This window comes from Homo sapiens, chromosome 2, assembly GCF_000001405.40.
Source record: "Homo sapiens chromosome 2, GRCh38.p14 Primary Assembly".
Taxonomy (NCBI): Eukaryota; Metazoa; Chordata; class Mammalia; order Primates; family Hominidae; genus Homo; species Homo sapiens.
This window is the reverse complement of record NC_000002.12, coordinates 899,996-924,659: the sequence shown is the minus strand read 5'-3', so window position 1 is coordinate 924,659 and position 24,664 is coordinate 899,996. Positions and strand designations below refer to the sequence as shown.

Genomic DNA, 24,664 nt, shown 5'->3' with positions numbered 1-24,664 from the left:
GCTAAGCCAAAATGAAAAAAAGAAAAAGATAGATGTTAGTACGGGGATATGTTAGTACGGGGACATGTGAAAAAGAGTAAATCAGTTCTTAGAGTTCTGTGACTTGAAACCATTTATGGATGTGAGATTATGTAGGTAAATATGTAACTAAGCAAATAGAGCGGAAAGATGTCAAAACTCTAAACACAAATTTCATCCTTACTGGTTCTGTAGCTACTTAATGCGATATTAGAATGTCACATGGAAGGACAGGAGCTGAGGTCACCTGGTTTTCTGGTATCTGGGAAGAAAACACTGAATACTGACCACTGGGCAGACTGGGACTGGAGAAGAAGCCGTGGGGAGAGTGGGGTTTCCAGCAGGAAAACCTCACACAGAGGCGAACTTGAATAGCTGATATGCAGACAATTGGTAGGGCAGAATATTTTTAGAGATCATGGAGTTGAACCCTTCGTTTCACAAACACAGAAACTGAATTGTGAAGATTTTGCTCCTTTTCCAGAGGCTAGTAATGTGTGGAAGAACAGACCTCAGTCTCAGACCCTAGGCTCTCCTCAGGGCCTCTCTGAGCTCTGTTGCGTTTCTATTCCACAAGTGTTCACTGACCAGTGAGTAAGAGAAAGCAACTGTGCAGTACGCTGTGTGCTGCCTGTTAGATGAGGCTGACTATGGGCCAGGCACAGTGGCTTATGCCTGTAATCCTGGCACTCTGGGAAGCTTAGGTAGGAGGGTCGCTTGAAACTAGGAGTTTGAGACCAGCCTGGGCAACATAGTAAGATCTCATCTCTTAAAAATAGTTTAAAAAATTTAAAAATTAGCCAGGCATGGTGGTGCATGCCTGTAGTCCCAGCTACTCAGGAGGCGGGGAGGATCACTTGAGCCCAGGAGATTGAGGCTGCAGTGAGCTATGATCATGCCACTGTACTCCAACTTGAGTGACAGAGAGAGACCCAGCCTCTTAAAAAAAAAAAAAAAAGAAGGCCAGCACGGTGCCTCACACCTGTAATCCCAGCACTTTGGGAGGCTGAAGTCAGAGGGTCACTTGAGGCCAGGAGTTCGAGGCCAGCGCTGGCAACATAGTAATATGTGGTCTCTACAAAATTACATATAATAAAAAAAATAGATGGGCATGGTGGTGCACACCTATAGTTCCAGCTACTTGGGAGGCTGAGGCATAAGAATCACTTGAACCCGGGAGGCGGAGGTTGCAGTGAGCTGAGATCATGCCAGTATACTCCAGCCTGGGCAACAGAGTGAGATCGTATGTGCAAAAAAAAAAAAAAAAAAAAAAAATGCTTAATAATGAAGTCCTCAAATTGAGGCTTTTGAATTGTGGAGAAGAAGACATGCTTCCAATAACTACAAGCAGAGTATGACAAATATTGTAAAAATTCTATAAAAGTAAAGAAATTAAATAAAGGATGCAGCTGTGACTTCTGGTTTGAGACATGGGGTTGAAGAGGGTGTTGGGCTGATGTGGGGGTCACCGAACAGAAAGGAGGAGGAAGGGGCATTGCCCGTGGAAGGAAGAGCCCTGGTTGACACTCAGGAGCCCTCCTTGAGAGTCCTTGGGGACTCTCCGGAGACATAGGGGAACAGTTTGCAGCCGGAGAGCTTGACACCGAGACTTTATTCTCTTGCTAGTGGGCTGCACTAACCTAGAAATCTAGGCTTCCTTCTCCTGATCGCAGGGAGGCTTTGGGATTCCCTGAGCAGGGTGTTGGGCCGGCTGTCTTCAGCGTTCCCACACTGCAGACACTATGTTTTGGCTAAGATGAAACTGTCTGAATTTTGGAAATTACGGACTCGCTGGGAACTTGATCGATGATCTAAGCTACAGCAGGAATTTCTGAGTGACCCATACTTTTTCCCTTTTGAAAGTAAACGGACATATTATATCTAAATCACCCTCACTAAAGATCCAGACATTGTCTATTAAAAGATACCTCCTTTTTTCCAGGTCACATGTGAGGGTTTGCTGCTGATGAGATTTCCTCTCACAGAGCTCAGGGTTGGAAGGCCCTTCTCCCGGCCGAAGTTCCTCCCTGCTTTGAGCCCAGCAATCTCTGTGGGGCAGGGGAGGCTTCCCCAAAGGGACAGTGAGGGAGATGGCCTGTCCAGAGGCTCCCAGTCCAGGCCCACCAGCTCCCAAGGGCAGCCCGTTGGGGCAGGGACGGCTCTAGCAGTGGAGTCAGCGGCCATGTAGGCAGGTGGCTGAGCACCTGAGCACTATGCCCTGCGGTGTATCTCAGGGTGTCTGCGGGGACCCTGGGCACTCACTCCTCTGCTGGCCCTACAGGGGCCTCCATTCTCCACCCTGAGTCCAGGCTGGCTGGAGCCCATGGTCTTCCTCCACACCAGCCCGGAAGCACCTTCCGGAGGCCGGCCGTGTCCCTCCCCTCACTGGATGCCAGCAGCCTTTCCCCGTGGCTGCAGGCCTGTGCTCTGCTCACACCCACATTTTCCTTTGGGATGCTCTGTTCCTGCTCTCACCTGAGAAGCCCAGCTGGTGTCCTCCCCAAAGGCCTCCTTGTGTCAAAATCCTCTCAACCCACTGCTAAGCACAGCCATGGACCGGGTTGTGTGCACTGCCTCAGGATGGAGATACTGACTGTCATTAGGTTAAGATGAGGGCATTTAGGGTGGGCTCTAACCCAAGATCACTGGTGTCCTTATGACAAGGGGAATTTGGACACAGAGACAGACAGAGGGAAGACAGAGGAGGAGGCCCGTGGACAAGCCAACAGCAGGCCTCAGAGCCTTGGAGCGAACCCACTCTGCAAGCCCCTGGATCCGGGACTTCCGGCCTCAAGAACTATAACACAATTTGTTTTTAAATTCTGTTGTTTCAACCCAAGCATGGCACTTTGCTTCATCTGCCGTGGGAAGCTCGCACACCTGCTTTCCTACATTCCCTGTCCCAAATGTCAGCCTTGAGGTCTATGCATATGACTTTACATAAGGAACTCTTCTCTGCCCACAAGACAACAAGAAATACAATCTTGGGGGCAGCAGGTGGTCCCATGTGCTTCCCCCATGAGCCCCACAGCAGAGGGGCAGGGATGGGAGGGCACAGATACAGGGAAGGGGTCCGAGGGCCAGGGTCCCTGCTGTGATTCCTGCCCTCCTCCCACACCCAGCCTCCTTCAAAGACAAACAAGCAAGTGGCATGGTGAGGTCTCCTCTGAGGGGACTCAGGGAGAGTTGGGGGCTGGGTGGCGCCTCCCTGTTCTCATCCCCATCGACCCCACACTCAGCATTTCTAGACTAAAGCCCCACACAAGGAAAGGAGCCCATAATTAGCTGGAAATTCAGCTCCAGGCCTGCATTTGGCCCCCTGTAGATGTTTTAGCCTGGTGGATGAGATAGCATCGACAGGAAAAACAGCCCAAGATCTATCTGGTGGTCACCAGTATCAGAAGCACAGTGCACCGGAGCAGATCGCGTGCAAGGCCGCGATGGCGGAGTGGGAGGAAGGCTCCGCCCTGGAATCCCGGCTCAGTTCTGCGTTGGGTGGCACATTCACCTTCCACACAAATGCAGGATTCTATTCCTCAGGGCAACGTCTAAACAGAGCATCCTTATTCGGGTCGGCACAAATGGAAGATGAACTGAACCACACACTGACTTCTGGCCCAAAATACTATGTGAGTGTCTGTGCATTGGTTGTAAAAATAAAGCTATGGCTCTGAGCCCAGGTTCTTAGAACATCTGAGGATGGTGGAGATAAAACAGAAGAGAAGTGATCCGGTGGCCTCGGGCAGACGACACCTGCTCCTCCCAGGACTCCCAGTGCCACCCCAGAGGCCAGACACACACGTGTGTGCAGCCAGACGGGCCCCCGGCATCAGGCATGGCAAAGGTAACAAATGCAGAAAGGAAAATCCACGTGACCGACGGTGTGGGATGCACTCGGATGCAGGGACCCTGCGGCTCACCTTGTGGGGGGGTCCCCACTGTCCCTCACCCATGGGTGTCCTTGCTTGTTGAAGAGAATGCAAATATACTGATGAGGTCACCTTCCATAATTAAAAAAAAAGCATTGCAAGAAAGGGAGATAGGAGAGAGAAAAATGGGTAGGAAGGAAGAAAAAGGAGGGGGAAGAGGAGAGTGAGTAAGGAGGAGGGACAGGTGGCAGGAGGAACAGGGGAGCCAGAGGGAGGGTGTTGAATCCTGGGAAATGAGGATTGAGAGGGAGTGGAAACAGGAGGGCAGGGAGGATGAGAGGATCCTACCCAAGCCCCAGAACCCTGCGCAGCAGTTTTAAGACTGAGAATGGAATTCAGAGTCGGGAGGCCTGAGCTTCCATCTCAGTGAGATATGAGAATGCTGACTAGTTGTGTGGTTATGCAACACACAGAACTGTTTACCCTTCAGATGCAACATCTCTAGGGTGGCAGCATGTCCCGGTCCATGTCTGCTCATGCCTATGCATCTGCTTCTGTTTGCCTATCTCCATCTATCATTGATCTATCTACCCATCTCTGCCTCTCTATCGATCATCTATCTATCTATCAATCATCATCTATTATCTATCATCTATCTATGATCTATCATGTATCTATTATCTATCATTTATCTATCATCTATCTATCATCTATCACCTATCTATCATCTATCTCTCTATCATTATCTATCATCTGTCATCTATCTATCATTATCTATCAGCTATTATCTATCATCTATCTATCATCTATCTTTCTATCATCTATCCATCCATCATTACCTATCATCTATCTAATCATCTATCATCTATCTATTATTTTCTATCATCTATCATCTATTATCTATCACCTATTATCTATCATCTATTTATCACCTATCTATCATCTATATCTCTATCATCTATCATTATCTATCATCTATCATTTATCATCTATCTGTTATCTATCATCTATCTATCTTTCTATCATCTGTCTTTTTATCATCTATCATCTATCTATCTATCATCTATCTATCATCTATCCATCCAACATTACCTATCATCTATCTATCTAATCATCAATTATTATCTACCACCTATCATCTATTATTATCTATCATCTATCTATGTATCATGTATCTATTATCTGTCCGTCATCTGTCTATCATCTGATTGTCTCATCCCTCTAACTCTATCATCTCTCATCTGTTTGTCTACCGTCTATCTATATAACTATCCATTGTCTATCTACGTATCTATCTGAAAGTGCTTTGCAGTCAGCATAGCACCTATATGTTTTGAGACAGTTGGTCTTTCTGGGATCCGACAGATCTGAGTGGTGATACAGACAATGTGATTCAGACACTTTAGTTTCCCTCTGTCGGGAGCCACAATATCTCCATGGCCAGCAACAACTTCAGTGGAAACTCCAGACAACTCCAAATTGTGGAGGACAAAGGCTGCTTACCTATCACACCTTGACCTGCAACCATTGCGCATGAATGTTTGGCCTCCCCGCAGGGACTGTGTGTCAATCCTCCCATAGGGATGGAGTCAGGCTGCGTCCTCACGCCTCTGACAGGCATGCTGCACACATTGAACACTTTTGGTTAAAGACTCGTGTAAAATGCATCAAGCAGTCCAACTGCAGGAAAAGTGTTCACAACCACAGAGCCTCAAATAATATTACATCCCTTCAAAGACTATCTTTTTAATATCAGAAAATATTTTCCTTCACGAGTGGAAAAAGCATTACATTTCATGGACATTTTTGCATGAGTCTAAAACATCTCACCCCAGTGCCATGAAGGACACATCCCAGGTTTTGTTCTGACACAGGTAGATTAGGTAAATATGAGCACCTGGCACGAACCCCCTTCCCAGATGCTCTGCCGTGGGAAAAGGATGCAAGTTCAGTCTCGTCTCATTGGCTGATGATGCAGTTTGTTTTTGTCCACATTAGAAGGAGCTTTTCGATTTAGCAGTGGCTCTTCTGAAGACACGTGGGAGCACTGTTTAGCTCAAAAGGGGATGTCTTTAGGTTGCTTTCTGCAACAAGGATCCTTTTTTGTGTGTGTGTGTGTGTGTGTGTGTGTGCGTGTGTGTGTGTGTGAAAGTCCTTCCAAAATTAAGGTTCCAGCTACCGGCATTCTCTAATAAAGTGGCTGTGATGTTGCCTTCTGAGGCACAAGTTCCCAGCTGATTCGCTTGTTTAATCTACAAAGATAAATGCCATGCCACACTAATGGAGAAAGACATTATTCATATTCGCAAGGCATTTTCCAGAGAGAAAGAACTTTTGAAAGGCTTTCAAGAGCCATATTGAATTTACTATATGTTTCTGTGGGTAGAAATCATAGCCAGAAATAGACATTCTCTGATTGACTGCCTATTTTCCATGAAGTATGACTGGTTTCATAGGACAAAAGAAGCTCAAGAGTCTGTTTTGAAATGTGCATCTTCCACAGTTAGAAATAAATTTCAAGGTTAATCATATTGATTTTTCATGAGAAATTGATAGAATAAAGCATCTTCTGGGTGGTTTCAGGGAAAGTTAATCTCATGATTGCCAAACTCTATGCACTTCAGCATTGTGTAAGCATTATTTAGAATAACTTAAAGGCCACTTCCAGCCAGATCAACAGAAGGTTCAGCAATTTAACTCCTAAGCTCCCGCAATCCTGCTTGTATTTCATAATCAGAGGACACACTCCAGTAACTGTGAGGAATTCCAATATTTTGTGAAAGTCCTTCCACAATTAAATAAACTCATCACAAGTTGGATTAAGAAAGAAAGTCTCTCGGCAGTGCTCACTGAAGAATCGAACTCTTTATGTTTTTCCTTGGATAAGGATGTCGTAGAATCTTCTTGTAAGACAATTTTGAGCAATATTTTAAAATGACAGAGCATTTAGTGTTTTCCTTGAGGAGGGAGACAATGTTATCCTCCTTCTTCAACCAACATTTTGGAAGTGCCCACAGTATTTTAAATAATGGAGGTAGAAAAAGGATGCATCCCCAAGCAGGAATTTCCATGAACACAGAATGGGTGATTAATAAAGTAGAAAGTCTTCATGGAAAAGGAGTCTAAACAGATTAAACTTTTAAGATAAAAATAGTCACGACTCATAATTTGTGAATGTCTGCTCTGAGTTAGACTTTGGGTATATCCTCTCCTCCGTTACCTGAAAAATCGTCCTGCAGTATTTGTTAGCATGTAAGTGCCATAGAGATGAAGAAAATTCAGAGGTGTGGCTTAAAAGCTTATAGTCAACTATGTAGCTTGTGTAAAGAAATTACTTTACACAAGTAATTATGGCCCCTGTAATAAGTAATGCTGGCCCCTGTAATAAGCAAATCCACAGGTTTCACTGGCCGAAGATCACAGAACATTATTTCTGACTTCTGTGTCTGCTCAGGGAGACTGGCTGCTTGGCCTGGGGGGCAGGAGGCCTCCACCCTGGTGGTCTGCGGAGAATCAAGTACATCTGAGCCTGAGGCGGGCTGGGGACTTTCTCTGTATCCTGGGTGAAGAAGAAATGGGCTGGGTCATTAGCTAGTCTCACCGCAGAGTCCTTCTCCCCCTTCTCCTAAATGAGACACCCAAAGCCCCATCCAGCCGCTGCACCCAGCTCAAAGTCCACACCCTCTGGGCACTGTGCGGTCCTCTTCATCAGCCCACGATGGCACTTCTTGTTCACCACACTGTCAATTAGACACATTTTCCATCTCTCAAAAGGCAGAGCGAGGTAGGTTAGGATGCTCCCATGGATAAAAAAGAATAAGATTGTGAACATGGACCCACAGCGATCAAAGCCCCACCAGGTGGGCAGCGTGAGGCTCTATGCTGTGGATTTGGCGGTTGGATTTGGGGGCCCCTTTGGTTGGGCCCTGTTTCCTGTGAGATTATTCCTTCTCCACCCCATGAGTCATTGATGAGCCTGCCTTCGGTGGGGTGGTGGAGATTGAACATCACTAATCAGTGAGTGACCACCAGCCCAACACAACCATGCACCCAGCATCCACCTCGAGAGACCGTTACAGCCATGTACAAACTCCCACCCCCGCCTTCAGCCACTATCCCGAGGTTCACAATCACCCAGTTCCTAAGAGCCCAGATCAGCTGGGCCTGTGTCTGCCTGAATATAAATGGAATCACGCATCGTATTTTGCTTGTGTCTGTTTTATTCTGCTCCATGTTTGGTCTGTGAGGTTGCAGCCCCACTGCTGTGTGCAGTTGTAGGCATCTTGTGTTCATGACTGCATGGTGTGCCATGGTGCGAAAATATTACAGTCTATTTAATTATCCATTCCACTGCTGAAGGACCTTCTAGTAGTTTCTAGTCGTGTTTTGTTGCTAGTGTGGATGCTGCATCTATAAGCATGTTTTTGGTAAACTTACTTGTACACCTTCGTGGGTAGGTAGGCGCGTGTTCAGCTTTGGTGGATATTGCTACACTTTTTCCCCCACGTGGTTTTAGTAATTCATACTCTACCAGTAGCATATGCGAGTCCTGATGGCTGCAAACCTAGCACGTCCTTGGAACGTGCCGCCTCTGCTTCCCTCACATCCTGTCCTGGGTGGTGGATGCGTGGCTATCGCATAGCGTTTCCACTGTGCAGTTTCTGATGTGGGGACCATGTTTCGGGATCCTGTGTCCTGTGCTGGGCTCCATAACCGCACTGAATTTGTTTCTCTACACATAAGAAGGAGCTTGTCCCCATACCGTGCATTTTCAACTTAGCAGTGGCTCTTCTGAAGACACATGGAAGCACCGTTTAGGTCAAAAGCGGATGTCTTTAGGTTGCTTTCTGCCACAAGGATACATTTTCTTCTTCAACTAGAAACTTTTCTGGGCTTTTAACATTTTTCTCAAAGCATTTCTTTTTTATTTCCGGTTTTATTTCCTATTATTTGAGTTCTAGAAGAAGACAATGTTTCCAAGCCTTTGAGGATCCAATTATTTCTGCTGGCAAAATGTCTAATATTTTCAAAGATAATTTTCCCTTGGTATAACTTAACACAGTAAGCGAAACACAATAGTCTCTGTCACTGGCCCCTCTGGTGGTTTTCTGAGAGTGGCACGTTGGGTAGAGGCATGGTCGCCTTCGCAGCCCTTTGGAGACAGCTTTAGTGAGTTTTCCGCGGTGCAGGTCTGGAGTCCGCATCGTTCTATGCCTCGTGTAATTTACACATCAACTCCAAGTAAGTAACTTGTATTATTATCATGTCAGCATTCAACTTCAATATGCTGATCTGTATTCATTAATTATAGCTGCTGTAAAAACCCCCAAATGGCAAGGGTTTCACACAAAAACAGTTACGGAAGAATGCAGTGACCCTGGGGAGCTCTTCCTGTTTGGCAGTGAAGGGTGGAGTCTCTGTGGTGCCCAGTCATTGGGGGGCGTGGACAGGGCCTTCCATCTTCTGCATGTGGGTTCTGGATCACGGTCAGCACCGGCATCCCTGTGGTGCCCAGTCATTGGGAGGGCGTGGAAGGGGCCTTCCATCTTCTGCATGTGGGTTCTGGATCATGGTCAGCACCGGCATCCCTGTGGTGCCCAGTCATTGGGAGAGCGTGGATGGGGCCTTCCATCTTCTGCCTGTGGGTTCTGGATCACGGTCAGCACCGGCATCCCTGTGGTGCCCAGTCATTGGGAGAGCACGGACGGGGCCTTCCATCTTCTGCCTGTGGGTTCTGGATCACGGTCAGCACCGGCATCCCTGTGGTGCCCAGTCATTGGGAGAGCATGGACGGGGCCTTCCATCTACTGCCTGTGTGTTCTGGATCACGGTCAGCACCGGCATCCCTGTGGTGCCCAGTCATTGGGAGAGCATGGACGGGGCCTTCCATCTTCTGCCTGTGGGTTCTGGATCACGGTCAGCACCGGCATCCCTGTGGTGCCCAGTCATTGGGACGGCGTGGAAGGGGCCTTCCATCTTCTGCATGTGGGTTCCTGGATCACGGTCAGCACCGGCATCCCTGTGGTGCCCAGTCATTGGGAGAGCGTGGAAGGGGCCTTCCATCTTGTGCCTGTGGGTTCTGGACCATGGTCAGCACCAGCATCCCTGCAGGTACAACACTGTGCAGGGGCGTTCAGAAGCCAGGTCTGGGAGTTGCATGGATTATTTCTACTCATATCCCATCGACTGGGACTCAACTCATGGCCATACCAGACTTTGAAGAGTGGGTGGAGGTTAGATGGAGATTATCTCTGTGATCAGGAGAAGAAGGAAGGTGATTTGAGGAACAGCCAGTTAGTCTCCGTCACACTTTTACTCAAAATAATTTCCACATAAAAGATTTTTCAGTGCGGAAACACACATACTGTGTTTTGAATACATGTGTGTGTAAGTCTGCCATGAACAGCTTTATTTTCCCTCTGAAGGATCACACACATGCATCTGGTTTGCCATTCCACACGGAGGCTGGAAGTTTGTTAACTTGCAGAATAAGAGCAATAACCAGCTCTTCAGTGCCTTTTGTAACATTTCCAGTGTTTCTTGTGGAATCTAAGTGTTGACATTTATGGGATTTGATTACTAATGTTGTCTCCAAAATAAACATCAAATGATGATAGTGATGACGAGGAAAAGAATGACAATGATCATTGAATTAGCCAACATTCTCTGCAAGCTTCCCATGTTCTAGGCACTTTACGCACATTTCCTCTCAATGCTAACTTATGACATAGATATTGATATTACCCCCGTGTTATGAATTTAGCATACTGAGTTTTAGACTGTCCGAATAACTTGTCCAGTGTCATTCAGTGGTGAAACCATAACCAATACATGAATACTAAGGTCCTTCCCCCTCACATACATGAATACTAAGGTCCTTCCCCTTCACATACATGAATACTAAGGCCCTTCACCCTCACATACATGAATACTAAGGTCCTTCCCCTTCATATACATGAATACTAAGGTCCTTCCACCTCACATACATGAATACTAAGGTCCTTCCTCCTCAGATACATGAATACTAAGGTCCTTCCACCTCACATACATGAATACTAAGGTCCTTCGCCCTCACATACATGAATACTAAGGTCCTTCCCCCTCACATACATGAATACTAAGGTCCTTCGCCCTCACATACATGAATACTAAGGTCCTTCCACCTCACATACATGAATACTAAGGTCCTTCCTCCTCAGATACATGAATACTAAGGTCCTTCCACCTCACATACATGAATACTAAGGTCCTTCCCCTTCACATACATGAATACTAAGGTCCTTCCCCTTCACATACATGAATACTAAGGTCCTTCGCCCTCACATACATGAATACTAAGGTCCTTCCCCCTGACATACATGAATACTAAGGTCCTTCCCCCTCACACACATGAATACTAAGGTCCTTCCCCTTCACATACATGAATACTAAGGTCCTTCTACATCACATACATGAATCCTAAGGTCCTTCCCCCTCACATACATGAATACTAAGGCCCTTCACCCTCACATACATGAATACTAAGGTCCTTCCCCTTCATATACATGAATACTAAGGTCTTTCCACCTCACATACATGAATACTAAGGTCCTTCCTCCTCAGATACATGAATACTAAGGTCCTTCCACCTCACATACATGAATACTAAGGTCCTTCCCCTTCACATACATGAATACTAAGGTCCTTCCCCTTCGCATACATGAATACTAAGGTCCTTCGCCCTCACATACATGAATACTCAGGTCCTTCCCCCTCACATACATGAATACTAAGGTCCTTCCCCCTCACACACATGAATACTAAGGTCCTTCCCCTTCACATACATGAATACTAAGGTCCTTCTACATCACATACATGAATCCTAAGGCCCTTCCCCCTCACATACATGAATACTAAGGTCCTTCCCCCTCACACACATGAATACTAAGGTCCTTCCCCTTCACATACATGAATACTAAGGTCCTTCCCCTTCACATACATGAATACTAAGGTCCTTCTACATCACATACATGAATCCTAAGGTCCTTCCCCCTCACATACATGAATACTAAGGTCCTTCCACCTCACATACATGAATACTAAGGTCCTTCCACCTCACATACATGAATACTACGGTCCTTCCCTTCACATACATGAATACTAAGGTCCTTCCCCCTCACATACATGAATAGTAAGGTCCTTCCACCTCACATACATGAAGACTAAGGTCCTTTCACCTCACATACATGAAGACTAAGGTCCTTCCACCTCACATACATGAAGACTAAGCTCCTTCCCCTTCATATACATGAATACTAAGGTCCTTCCACCTCACATACATGAATACTAAGGTCCTTCCCCTTCACACAGATGAATAGTAAGGTCCTTCCACTTCACAGTGTGCATTACTGATCAGATACGCCACTTCACGAGGCTCCAGGAGTTGATTCCCTCCTTTCTAGGCAAATATGTTGGGCCACCTTCAAGGATTTATGCACAAATAATAATTCCTGATTACTCATCCTGTAACCTGTAATGTGGGATTCTGGTAAAAGTGAATGGGAGACGGCAGCTTACGTCTGAAGCATCAAATGGCCTCTGCCTCCAGTCCTAGACTTTCTGGGGTCCCCTTCCCAGTCCTCTGTCTGAGATCAAGGAGCCCTTTTTGTTTTTACCAGTTAGTGTTTCTAGGTTTTAGGTTTCTCTCTACAGAGAAAAAACAAACTAAACTATAAAAACAAGAAGAAAAGGCAGATGTGTTGTCCCCTGGATCCGAGGCCTCTGTCCCGTCTGCTGTCACCCCTGCCCCTTCCACAGCGGCCTTCGGTGTGTTTCCTGTGTCACGTCCAGGTGTGTCTGTGGAACTGAGGTGGAGAAATAGGAATCATGTGTCTCCTCTATCTTGTCCAGAGCTGAAAGTTCTCTATGTTGTTTTATTTGCATTTCCCTACAAGGCTGATCAAATAAGAAAATTGTTGGAGCTTATTGCAAATTTACTGAAACCTGAAGAAGAAACAAATAAAACACATCAAGCAGAGACTATGGACACATACCCCAGGCAAGAGTGGTGGTGAAAGTTCTCAGCAGCCTGAACCGCACATGTGTGAACTGATTGGAAGAGGTGCTGGCCTTTGCCTGCCCGGGCTTGGGGAGCAGAAACAGCTCTGCTTCCCAGGAAATTCCAGTCTTTAAGGCTTCTTTTCACAGAATTAGGCTTTTCCATAGGAAAGTCTCTTGAATTTGACCCCATTTCTTCTTTTCCCCTTCTATTGCTATTACCTTCAAGTAAAACTTCCTCACTCGTATCTTATGTTGACTACCACTTGAATAGTTTTAAAGCTGTTTGTTTCCTTTCTAAGGATCTTTTCCTTTTCATCCCATTTTCTTACAGGCTGCTGGTGTTACATTTCTAAAGCACAGGCCTCCCTCTTATGTTCCTCTGCCAGCCTTTCCATTGCGTATGAGACACATCCCTAAGTTCACATGGAGATAACCAAGGCCCTTCGCCAACTGGACAGCACCCGGCGGCTCCTACCTGGCCACTGTGCTTAGCGGTCCTGGCTTTGCCACAGCCTCTGAACATTCGCAGAGCTCTGCCCTCGCTCCACAGCCGTCTCCCGCCTCTGAACATTTGCAGAGCTCTGCCCTCGCTCCACAGCCGTCTCCTGTGGATGGTCCCAGTTTCACCACAGCCTCTCAACATTTGCAGAGCTTTGCCCTCGCTCCACAGCCATCTCCTGTGGATGGTCCCAGTTTCACCAGAGCCTCTCAACATTTGCAGAGCTCTGCCCTCGCTCCACAGCCGTCTCCTGTGGGGTGTCCGAGCTTCGCCACAGCCTCTGAACATTCGCAGAGCTCTGCCCTTGCTCCACAGCCGTCTCCCACCTCTGAACATTTGCAGAGCTCTGCCCTCGCTCCACAGCCGTCTCCTGTGGGGTGTCCCAGCTTCGCCACAGCCTCTGAACAGTCGCAGAGCTCTGCCCTCACTCCACAGCCGTCTCCCACCTCTGAACATTCGCAGAGCTCTGCCCTCGCTCCCAACCATCTCCTGCGTGTTGTCCTTTCAGGGTGCTGCACCCACAGACGCTTAATCATTCTTCAAGACACAGGTCCGATGTTGAAGTTGTGTTTCCTAACTTGCCTACACTGCTCTCTCTTCTTGGAGCGCTATCACCTCCTCTGCTAATATTTCACTCCCTGGTTCATATTTTATGCAGTTTTCACAATACTATCACTTTCCAGTAGATCGCGAGCCCTGGGGTGCAGAGGCTGTTGGGTCATCCTCATCTCCCTAGTGCTGAGCTTGGTTTCCGACTTGCTGTGGGCCCTCAGGAATGTCTGTGGAAATAAACTGACTTGAATTAATTAAATAAAGCAATTCAGCTTATGAGAAGGCAGAGTGTTAAGATGTGGGGTCACAGCAAACGAAGGGCACGGCAGAGGCACAGCAACTCCCCTGGTGACCCAGTGAAGGTGAGGACCCCAGGAGGAACTGAAATACCAGACCCAGTGTAGGCGAGGAGGCCGGGAGGAAATGAAACACCAGACCCAGTGCAGGCGAGGAGCCCGGGAGGAACTGAAACACCAGACGCAGTGCAGGCGAGGACCCCGGGAGGAAATGAAACACCAGACCCATTGCAGGCGAGGAGGCCGGGAGGAAATGAAACACCAGACCCAGTGCAGGCGAGGAGGCCGGGAGGAAATGAAACACCAGACCCAGTGCAGGCGAGGAGGCCGGGAGGATCTGAAACACCAGACGCAGTGCAGGCGAGGAGGCCGGGAGGAAATGAAAGACCAGACCCAGTGCAGGCGAGGAGGCCGGGAGGAAATGAAACACCAGACCCATTGCAGGCGAGGAGGCCGGGAGGAAATGAAACACCAGACCCAGTGCAGGCGAGGAGGCAGGGAGGAAATGAAACACCAGACCCAGTGCAGGCGAGGAGGCCGGGAGGAAATGAAACACCAGACCCAGTGCAGGCGAGGAGGCAGGGAGGAAATGAAACACCAGACCCAGTGCAGGCGAGGAGGCCGGGAGGATCTGAAACACCAGACGCAGTGCAGGCGAGGAGGCCGGGAGGAAATGAAAGACCAGACCCAGTGCAGGCGAGGAGGCTGGGAGGAAATGAAACACCAGCTTTGTGAAATTTCTGGATTTGGTGAGAAGCCTCTGGTGTCTGGTTAGTCTTTAAACAAGTGCTGACTTCGGCTTTGCCTGCACTGGTCAGTTAGACTTTCTTGGTTATGTGGCTTACAACCGGGAAGTGGCCTAGGGTTTCTTGAAGTTGACTCATATGTACAGCAAATTCAATAATCCATTTTCTGAAATTAAATGTCTGTCCAGTTTAGACTCAATTTAAGGAAAGGAATAGATTTGGCAATACACGTAGGTACGTTGATCATATGCGATGTGAACTTGGGGATCAGCTTGCTGCTTAGAGATTTCCTTAGTGATTCCTCATCGATAAAATGAACTGTTACATTTAAGATGCTGATAAAGTAAATATTTTTTTGAACAAGGCAGACACAGATGCAATTACACAGAAACATTGCCATAAATGTGCATGACTGAAGGGGTTAGAGGAGTTATCTGTATGGGAGAAGGCAGTCTGGATGCCAAAAATCCCAGCAGGCTGTGGAAGTAGGAGGGAAACTCATGAGGAGTTAGCAAGGGAAGCCTCAGAGACAAGAGGCTGTTTGAAGTTGGTCATCGAGAACAGATAGCAATTTGACTACAATGAAATAAGAAACTGTAGATATTGTTTTAGCACTTGGTTTCATGGGCACATGACAGCTTTTTATTTTTTCTGATAAATGTGCAGGTTTCCTGTATATTTTTAATGTCTCCAGTTCTTTTACTTCCTTTAGCAAATGACATTTTACCTTGTATCTTAGTCCATTAAGGCTGCTACAGCAGAATCACACAGCCTGGGTGGATTCTAAACCACAGAGACCTGTCTCACAGCTCCGGAGGCTGGAAGTCTGAGACCAAGGTGCTTGCCGATGCGGTGTCTGCAGGGCCCTCTTCCCTTCCAGAAGACACCATCTGGCTGTGTCTTCACCTGGGGAAAGGGGCAGGGCAGCTCTCAGGGCCTCTTCTATGGGAGAACTCATCCTATTCAGGAGGGTTTCACCCTCATGCCTTCCCAAAGACCAACTGATTTCAGTTTTCCCAAATGATTTCAACGTTTCAGATTTGAGGGGACAGACATTCAGTCTACTGCACCTTGCATTTGGGGACTCTGTGTCCATAAAGACTCCAAATTGTCCAAACTGAATTTAACAATCAGGTAATGATCATCAGAATAACTCCAGCTAGTTCTGACCCTGAAGGGAAGAGATATTATTTGTTCAAAGTCACATTTCTTTACTCTCCTTTCCTAACGTAATCTACTATTTAAACAGAATTATAACATTACATATTAAGTCTATCCTAGTGGGAGGATAATGACACTTATTGAGGTGTGGCCATTACATTTTAAAATACTTATCACTTTATAAGCTTACATTGAAAAGACAAGTAAGTATTTTTTTTCAGGTGTACTGATGAATTAAAAAACAGTGACAAAAAGCAAATATCTGCTGTGCATCAACCATGGGACATTGTTTTAGGGCCCTAGAGAGGATGGGGGTGCAAACAGGATCAGGGCATCATCCTGACCAGGCAAAGAGCTCAGCATCAATGGGGCAAATATCTATCTACAAGAGTTCTTGCGATCTACGGAAAATGGCAGTAAGGATGTGATTAGCAAAACCAAAGTACCAAGGAAGAAGAATAAAGGGAGGAACTCAGTATAAGCAGATACGCCACATGGAGAATGAGCCATCTGACCTGACATTTCAGGAGGTGACATCACCAGGTGGAAAAGAAAGATGTATGTCCCTAGATGCAAAAGCTCGAGAGAGCCTTGCTGGTGACTAAGACCCTGGGTGCCGAGGCTTGAGAAGAGCAGTGTCTGGATCTGGTCTGAGAATTGCAAACAGTGTGCTGTGGCCTACAGATGAGGTCCCGAAGCTTTGATCTCTGTGAATTCCTTTTTATCCCATTCTACTTGGAACAACAATACAATATCAATCTTCCTCCGCTGCCCCTGGGTGTGCTTCTCCCAGCCAACAACCTTCCAGAGATTGCCACCAATTACAGGAAAAAAATCCGTACTACTCCAGCAGGAATTTAAAGCCTCCTTCTTTCTCTGTCCCCCACCTCTGTGGTCTGCCTTCCACTCCTCTCCAGTAGAGGTGTGCTGGATCCACACACGCCTCCCTTATGCCTATTACAACATTGCTCCTGCCGGGAAACGTTTCCCAAATTCAACCCCATTAAAGGGAGGAGAGGCAGGAGGCTGAGGACTCTACATTTATCCAACAAAGAGAAAATGGATCTCTTAATTAGACAGTGGCAGTTGGCAAGGATTGGCACCTGTTTATTTTTGACCAAGAAGAATCAATCATAGGCTCTAGAGCAGCAGGAGACTTCTGAGGTGATCTCATTGAGGGACTATGTGGCATTTGAATCTTCCTTATAAAAGAGTAAAGAGAACACTGCTCTACTATAATTTTAACCCCCTTTGAGGGAATTTGTTGCCTTGCAAGGCAATGTATCTACTTGCTATATAGTTTTCTAATGCAAATCAATAAAGTGACTCCACTATAAACATTTGCAAAGTTTGTATAGTCTCATAATAGTAAAATAAAATAGTAAAATTTACATGATTTATTTATTTCTGAATTTCTGATCACATAACTGTATCTTAAAACAGGGCCAGCTTAGCACTATCATACATCAATGAATTTCAATGTAGGCAAATTGCCGTAAATAGAATTGACATATTTGAAGTGGACAGATTAACGTTGGAGCAGGACTATGACATTTTCTGTCTTATGAGGTAGTCAGCTCTTTTGACTATTGTTTGAATCAGTGATTTAGAAAGGATTTCACCATTTCCTGTGACTTACTTTAATAATATGCGCTATGTGCATTCATTCTAATTAATGTAGATAATTAATAATTAATTATACTAATTACTAATTAATAATCCTTTCTTATTCAGAAGTTCATTTCCAGAAGGACCTAGTGGGCATTGAAAGTGGGCCAGATGAGTATTAAACTTGACCCACCCATGCTTTGGAGACTTTGATAAGTCTGTGCTTTAATTAAATGGTAAAGTTGGGGTTATGAAGCTCAGGTAATTAAAAATGTATTTTTACTTAAATTGGGATATATGGGAATTTAATGATCTATACAGGAAATTATGGAGTATACATAATATTTGGAACGTGATTCAAAATGCTTTAGCTCATAAAGTACTAATATGATTTCATGATAATCTCGAATATAGACTAGATAAATTCCTGTTTGAGATAAGATACAGGACAGTGCATTCTTAAGCAGGTCCACACTAGTTAGAAAGAATATGGCTGAAGAAATACATTTTCTATATGGCTGTTATAGGAAAGATTCTCCTATTCCTATTAAGAACATAGCAAAATTAACTCCAGATACATGGGCTCTGTTAATTAAAATTGATTAGTTATGGAAATGCAGCTTAACTAATACTGTTTAGTTAAAATCTGCTCCCGGGAACCTTCCTGCAATTCTTATCTCCTGCTCTTAGAGCCCCTCAGACCTCTGGGCCGATCCCCTCTGCACCAGCCCTGCCGTGAGGGCGGGAGAAGCAAAGGACCCCCAGCTCTCAGATCCACCCATCCTGCACTTAGAGCACTCCACCAACCATTTTCTCTGATTAGAACATGTTTTTGTCTTGCCCTCCATCCAGAGGTGCCCTCAGCTCCTGAGAGGGGGTTCCTGGCCAACAGCTAAGAGGGAAGGAGCTCTGCTGGCCTGGGTCCTCTGCCGGCTTCTGCTGCAATGCCAGTGACATGCAGAGGTCACCTGCGCCAGACACACCCCAGGTAACTCCTCAGGTTACTCCCCAGGAGCTACAGCATGTGCCAGCGCAGGAGCAGGCAGAGTCTGTGGCATTATACCCAGCTGGTGGGTGTAGATGATAGATGAGACAGACCAGTCACCACAGCCCACAGATGTAGAGAGACAGACCAGTCAGCCCCCATGCCGGCATATGTGGACTGGACAGACATCACCTCTGGCCAGCACATGCAGAAGAGACAGGTCGTAACCCCCAGCCGGCAGGTGCAGAAGGGACAGGTCATAATCCCAGCCAGCAGGTGCAGAAAGGATAGGCATCACCCCCGACCTGGCAGGTACAGAAGGGACAGGTCATAATCCCCAGCCAGCAGGTGCAGAAGGGACAGGTCATAATCCTTGTCTGGCAGGTACAGAAAGGACAGGTCATAATCCCTGGCTGGCAGGTGCAGAAGGGACAGGCGTCACCCCCACCAGCAGGTGCAGAGGTGCCGTTGCAGCAGTTGGATGTGAGGCCAAGAAGCAGAAGCTAAGGGAGGGGGTCTGGGGCATCCCTGGAGCTCAGAAGCCAAGGCCCGTGCCTGCCCCAGGGCTGGTGCCATACATAGTTCCAGGTACTGGGGACGGAGGGTAGCCGATGGGGCCCTGAGCAGGACGTGCCTCTTCTGGACTTGACCACAGAACCCAAGCATGGTAAGTGTGCCTTATGGATGCCATCAGGTTGGCGCAATTCCACAGGAAATGGACCATCAGCCCTTCCTTGGCCCTTGGACTCTCCTTCCCGCCCCCACTGTGGGGGAACACTGCCTGTTCCCTGTGCTCCTGGGGGAAGGGTCTGGGCTCTGGGGTCAACCCTGCTCATGCCAGGCCTGGGTGGAGGCAGCTCCGCGGTGTGCTCTCTTAGTGCTCCCCCCTGTGCTACCTCGCCTGTGCTTCCCCTGTTCCTCTCATGCTCTCCCCAGTGCTCCCTTTGTGTTTCCTCTATGCCCCCTTCTATGCTCCCTCCCATGCTCCCCTCCATTCTCTCCTCTTGTGCTCCCTTTTGTGCTTCCCTCCCCTTCTCGCTCCATGTTCCCCACCCTCCACACGTGGCTCCCTCTTTGCTCTGCAATCTGAGCTGTGAGGGCCCAGGTGCTGCTCAGCTGCCAGGCCCGTGGCCCTCCCATCCTTTTCCTAACCCTCCTCTACTCCTTCCTGGGAGCCCCCACACCAGTGCTGCCAGGGAGGCCTAGACAGCCATGCCCGCTGTCGCACTTTCATAGTGGGCCAGAAACACTCACAAAAATTTATACTTCCACCTTCCTGTGCTTCCTTGTTTTAATGAGAATGACGCACCATCATTCAAGGTTTAGTAAGCAGCGAAATACGTCTCAGCTGTGCGAGGCTCATGTAAATCACCTTTAAGAAGTGAATGAAAGTGTTACATGTGCATGACAACTAAAGCTTTGTGAGACAGCCAGAGCCTGTTTCCCCCATAAAGATGTTTACACCTGACATGTGTGTGAGAATAGTGCCAGGAAGTTGAGCTCCCTGCTGAGGGTGCGAAGGACAGGAAAAACAGAAACAGAGAAAAAGAAAAGGGGAGTCTGTGTGAGAGAGAATAGACTGAGGGCAGAAACCAAATCAGCTGCCTGGTATAAAAATGTGCTTTGAGATAAGATAAATTATGGGATTTCATGTTAGTCTATATTAGCGTACATGAGGGATAAAATCTACTTCGTTATTAACTGATTTCGTTTAGTTTGCCTTAATTAGAAAAACTATTACAAATCACTATAAATGCAGAATTAACAGGTTGACGAGTGGCAACAAAATAATGAGTCCCATGGTGATAATTATGTAAAATATGTAAAATCAATTTTCTAATCATTGATTTACATAAAATAAAAACGTTAATTTGACTTTGGGTTGCCTGAAGATATTGGCAGCCACCTGAATCTAAATCTTTTCAAACATCTCCAAGATAACTATGCAGATGAGCATGAAGAACAACTTTACGTAGAACTCTTCCCTTGGCAAGCCTGGGAGAGAGAGGTGGTGTGTTTCAATCACCTGCAGGTGAAATAATCAACATACAACAGCAGATCGACTACCTTTGATCCCAAAGGTAACACAGTGGTGGACACTGAGGAAAGTCCAGGCACATGGACAGGAGGGACATGGAGAAAAGGAGCAGGAGCTGCCGTTAAGCAAAACCCACTTTGTGGTGGTAAAACTGCAGAGAAGCCTCCCAGGGGCTGGCAGCTCCAGGGAAGGGAGACATGCATCTCCAGGACCCACGTGGCATGCCCAGAGCTGCTTTGCCTCTGAAGAAAAGGGTAAATCAGAAGGAAGAAGGACCCTTAGGAAGCAGAGGAGTGAAGAAATAAAGAGAAGCAAGAGAGGAAAATGTGGGGTTCTGCAAGACCAAAGAGGAGCAGAAACCAGATGACACACCACTTTCCCCCAGGACAGCAGCGAGAAACAGAATGCTGCTGCACTGACAGAAGAGAGAGCTCTTGAACAAGGAATCCTATCCGCTGCCTCTAACGGTCAGAAGAAATAAGTAAACAAAAGCAGCCCAGCGTTATAAAAAGCTATTAGTAGAAGAAAACACAAAATGAGAATCAAGCCATTTCAGGTGATAAAAATGCACTGCCAAAAAACAACCGTGACAGAGAAGGGAACTGAGCACAATACTGCACCTTAAATTAAATATCCTTACCAAGCAGTTGGTTGAACAAGGAAAAGGACTTTTTAGTAGGAAATATAAAAATGACCAAAACCAAGAATGGTTGGATTGAGTGACAATTTGAGACATTCAAGAAAGGCAAGAAAACAACAAAAATTAAAATTAAAATGATTTATGAGAGTTCTCCAGTGAAACAGAATCCCTGGAAGGAAGAGTGAGCTCACGTAATTATGGGGCTGGCAAGTCCACAGTTTGCAGGTTGGGCTGGTGGCCAGAGACCCAGGAGGGCCAACGCTCCAGCTGGAGTCTGAAGCAGGTGGGCTGCAGAGTTCTCTCAGAGCCAGGGAGTGGGGGTCTTTAGGCCTTTAGGGGTGCAAGGCCTGGTGCAACCCCCATGTTATGGAATCTGCTTTTTACTTAAAGTCCACCAAAGTAAATTAATCTCAGGCACTGACACCCTCATGGAAACACCCAGAATAATGTTTGACCAAAAACCTGGGCACCCCATAGCCCAGGCAAGTTGACACATAAAATGAACTATCAAAATGAGTTATATTAAAAAAAGGGTCAGAGTGACATTGGTGACATGCAAGAGAGCCAACAAAGAGCCAGCATATGTCTAACTGGAGTCCTGAACAAACCTAGGGCCAGAGCTAGAGAAACCAGAGTTAGATAACTTTTCCAGAAACAAAAGAAGCATTGACGCTACATGTCAGAAGGGCCTACTGAGACCTGCAGGAACTGGCCTGGCATATTTAACCAAGACATAGCCAGATAAAACTATTGAACTTTAAAGATAATGAAACACAATCCTAAGGGCCTGAAGATAAAATATCACATTCCTCATCCAGGCCAAAGAACAAAGTAGGCATCTGACTTCTCAAGAGTGACCTGCAGAGTGAGGCCACAGTGGGGCTGCATCCCAGAAACCCCCTAATGGAGGTGTGAGCACAGGATCCTATGCCCAGCCTCTTGTCTTCTGCCCAATTTTGTAGTTGTTTACATCAGAACGTTAAGCCTGCCTCAGTTACTTCATCATGGCTGGAAAGATAATCAACATCTACTGCTTTTTTTAAATTAGAAAAACACAAAACAATGTTTTAGCATCTTCTTGTAAAATAATTTTTTTAGTGAAATTTTAATTGAACAAATGAATAAATGAACAATCAGGCCCTTCCTTTTTTTTTTTTTTTTGTTTGTGTTTTGAGACACAGTCTTGCTCTGTCACCCAGCTAGAGTGCAGTGGCATGATCTCAGCTCATTGCAACCTCTGCTTCCCCAGGTTCAAGCGATTCTCCTGCTTCAGCCTCCTGAGTAGTTGGGATTACAGATGCCCGCCACCGCACCCAGGTAATTTTTGCATTTTTAGTAGAGATGGGGTTTCACCATCTTGGCCAGACTGGTCTCGAACTCCTGACCTCATGATCCACCTGCCTCGGTGTGAGCCACCGCACCTGGCCAGGCCCTTCCTTTTATAATAATATATACAACTCATGGGTTTTAAACCTTTCACTTTACTCTAGTCACAGATGGACTCTGAGAGAGAAAATAGCACCCCTGTCCAAACATCACATGCCTGGCGGAGGAACGCAGCCTGGCCTGTGCAGCCGAATGTTGGAGAGTGCACCTTCCTCTCTTATTTTGTTTTATTTCCAGGGAAAGGGAAAGGAAGACATGCAGGTAATTTATCAACTAAATTACAGGCTGACTGATAATAAAGCTCCCCGCCCCACAAAAAAAGGAAATGATTGTGGGGTTTTAGTGGGTTTTCAATGTTCTTTCTTTACTCTCCACCATGAAAATCTATCATTAAAATACATTATTTAGTTTTTGCTTTAAAAGTTTAGATAATTCTACCAGTGAAAATGAACTTTCTAAAAATTCTACATAATTTGTCACTGGGTAGAAGTCCACAAATCTACCAACTTCCCACTGATTTTAGTCTTTATTGTATGATTTCCTTGTGCTGCCTACCAGAATTTCTTGCAGCCAGTGGGTAACTCAAGTCATACAATGTTAGAATAATAAAGGATTTTAGACTTTTTCCAAAATCTTCAGTTGTATATTTTCATCACCAAATAAAGTGTAGTATCCAAAGCAAAATTAAAGTAACATATTCCTTATCTTCTATCTAGAGCCAATACATATGGACTTCATTTATTGGATCATTGAATATGTTTTCTTTAAATATCAAGAAGCAATAACATCACAACTATTAACCTACCTATATGGTTTACATTCTAAATGAAATGTCAGGTTATGTATGTGAATAGAGACATATGAGGATCAATATTCTCCCATTTAGACTTTCAATCATGAATTGCAAAAGCATTTCTACTATGAATCATAGAAATATTTATTGCATGATAATAAAAGATTTGTATCTAAATACAATTTCATCAGAAAAGCAATGTAAAGATATTTTTGACTCAAGTTTTCATTTTAGGCTTTAATGAAATGCATGTATCAAGATATTATACATTTTATATAAACACTTTGATGATGATATTTGGCTTTCAAAGAAAGGTACTTGTGGACACATGAACAAAGTTCAACCAGTAATTTAATATGAAAACAGGAATGTTAGTTATTATGTAATTAAATACCATTATAAAGAATTTTAGTGTGTCAAACAAAATATTAAAAGTGCTGCTAGAATCTATTATAAAATTTTAAGAATTCAGATGTTTTGGATAATTCTATTTGTGTATTAAAATTGTTTCTATAATTCTTATTAATGTTCCAACACTAATCTGCTTCAAGAAACACCCCTTTGCTTTCCTTTTTAGTCTCATTGAAGTCCTTGGGTCACTTTACCCCTGCCCTTGGGTTGATGGACGATCAGATGTCTTCCTTCTCATGCTGGCTGAGACATCAAACACCAGAGTGGACTTACTTGGCTCCAGTGCTGGTGATGGGCACTTCTGGGTGAATGGAATCTGGGGTGTACTAGCAAATTTGCTGGTTCTTAGTGCAGGATCATTTGAAAATTTATTATTCTGCCAAATTGATCAAATCACTTTGAACAATTTATGCATGTACTTCATTACACAATAGTTTCCATTTCTGCACATTCTAACACCTATTAATTTTTGCAAATACTATAGCCATAATATAACATCACATTGTTATTTTTGATTTATGTTTAACTGAATTCAGGTAATTTTGTACTGGTGTTCAGAAGATTGACTTTAGGTTTTCTTACTTGCAAATTACCTTTTCATGTGTGTTGCCCATGTTTTAATG

General features: G+C 45.5%; 1 long non-coding RNA gene across 1 annotated transcript, besides 2 other annotated features; it reads left to right on the top strand.

Moving 5' to 3' along the window:
* Positions 13,568 to 14,068: an enhancer, noted in NCBI's record as "H3K4me1 hESC enhancer chr2:906278-906778 (GRCh37/hg19 assembly coordinates)". NCBI's record gives its function as "activates a minimal SCP1, AML or CMV promoter by ChIP-STARR-seq in naive H9 embryonic stem cells {active_cell/tissue: H9 hESC(naive)}" and the evidence as "EXISTENCE:reporter gene assay evidence [ECO:0000049][PMID:30033119]".
* Positions 14,614 to 15,115: an enhancer, noted in NCBI's record as "H3K27ac-H3K4me1 hESC enhancer chr2:905231-905732 (GRCh37/hg19 assembly coordinates)". NCBI's record gives its function as "activates a minimal SCP1, AML or CMV promoter by ChIP-STARR-seq in naive H9 embryonic stem cells {active_cell/tissue: H9 hESC(naive)}" and the evidence as "EXISTENCE:reporter gene assay evidence [ECO:0000049][PMID:30033119]".
* LINC01939 (long intergenic non-protein coding RNA 1939) lies at positions 19,209 to 24,444 on the top strand. Its single transcript, NR_110179.1, has 4 exons — positions 19,209 to 19,440; positions 22,701 to 22,768; positions 22,942 to 23,098; positions 24,208 to 24,444. It is a non-coding gene; the product is annotated as a long intergenic non-protein coding RNA 1939 (long non-coding RNA).
* The last annotated feature ends 220 nt before the right edge of the window (positions 24,445 to 24,664 follow it).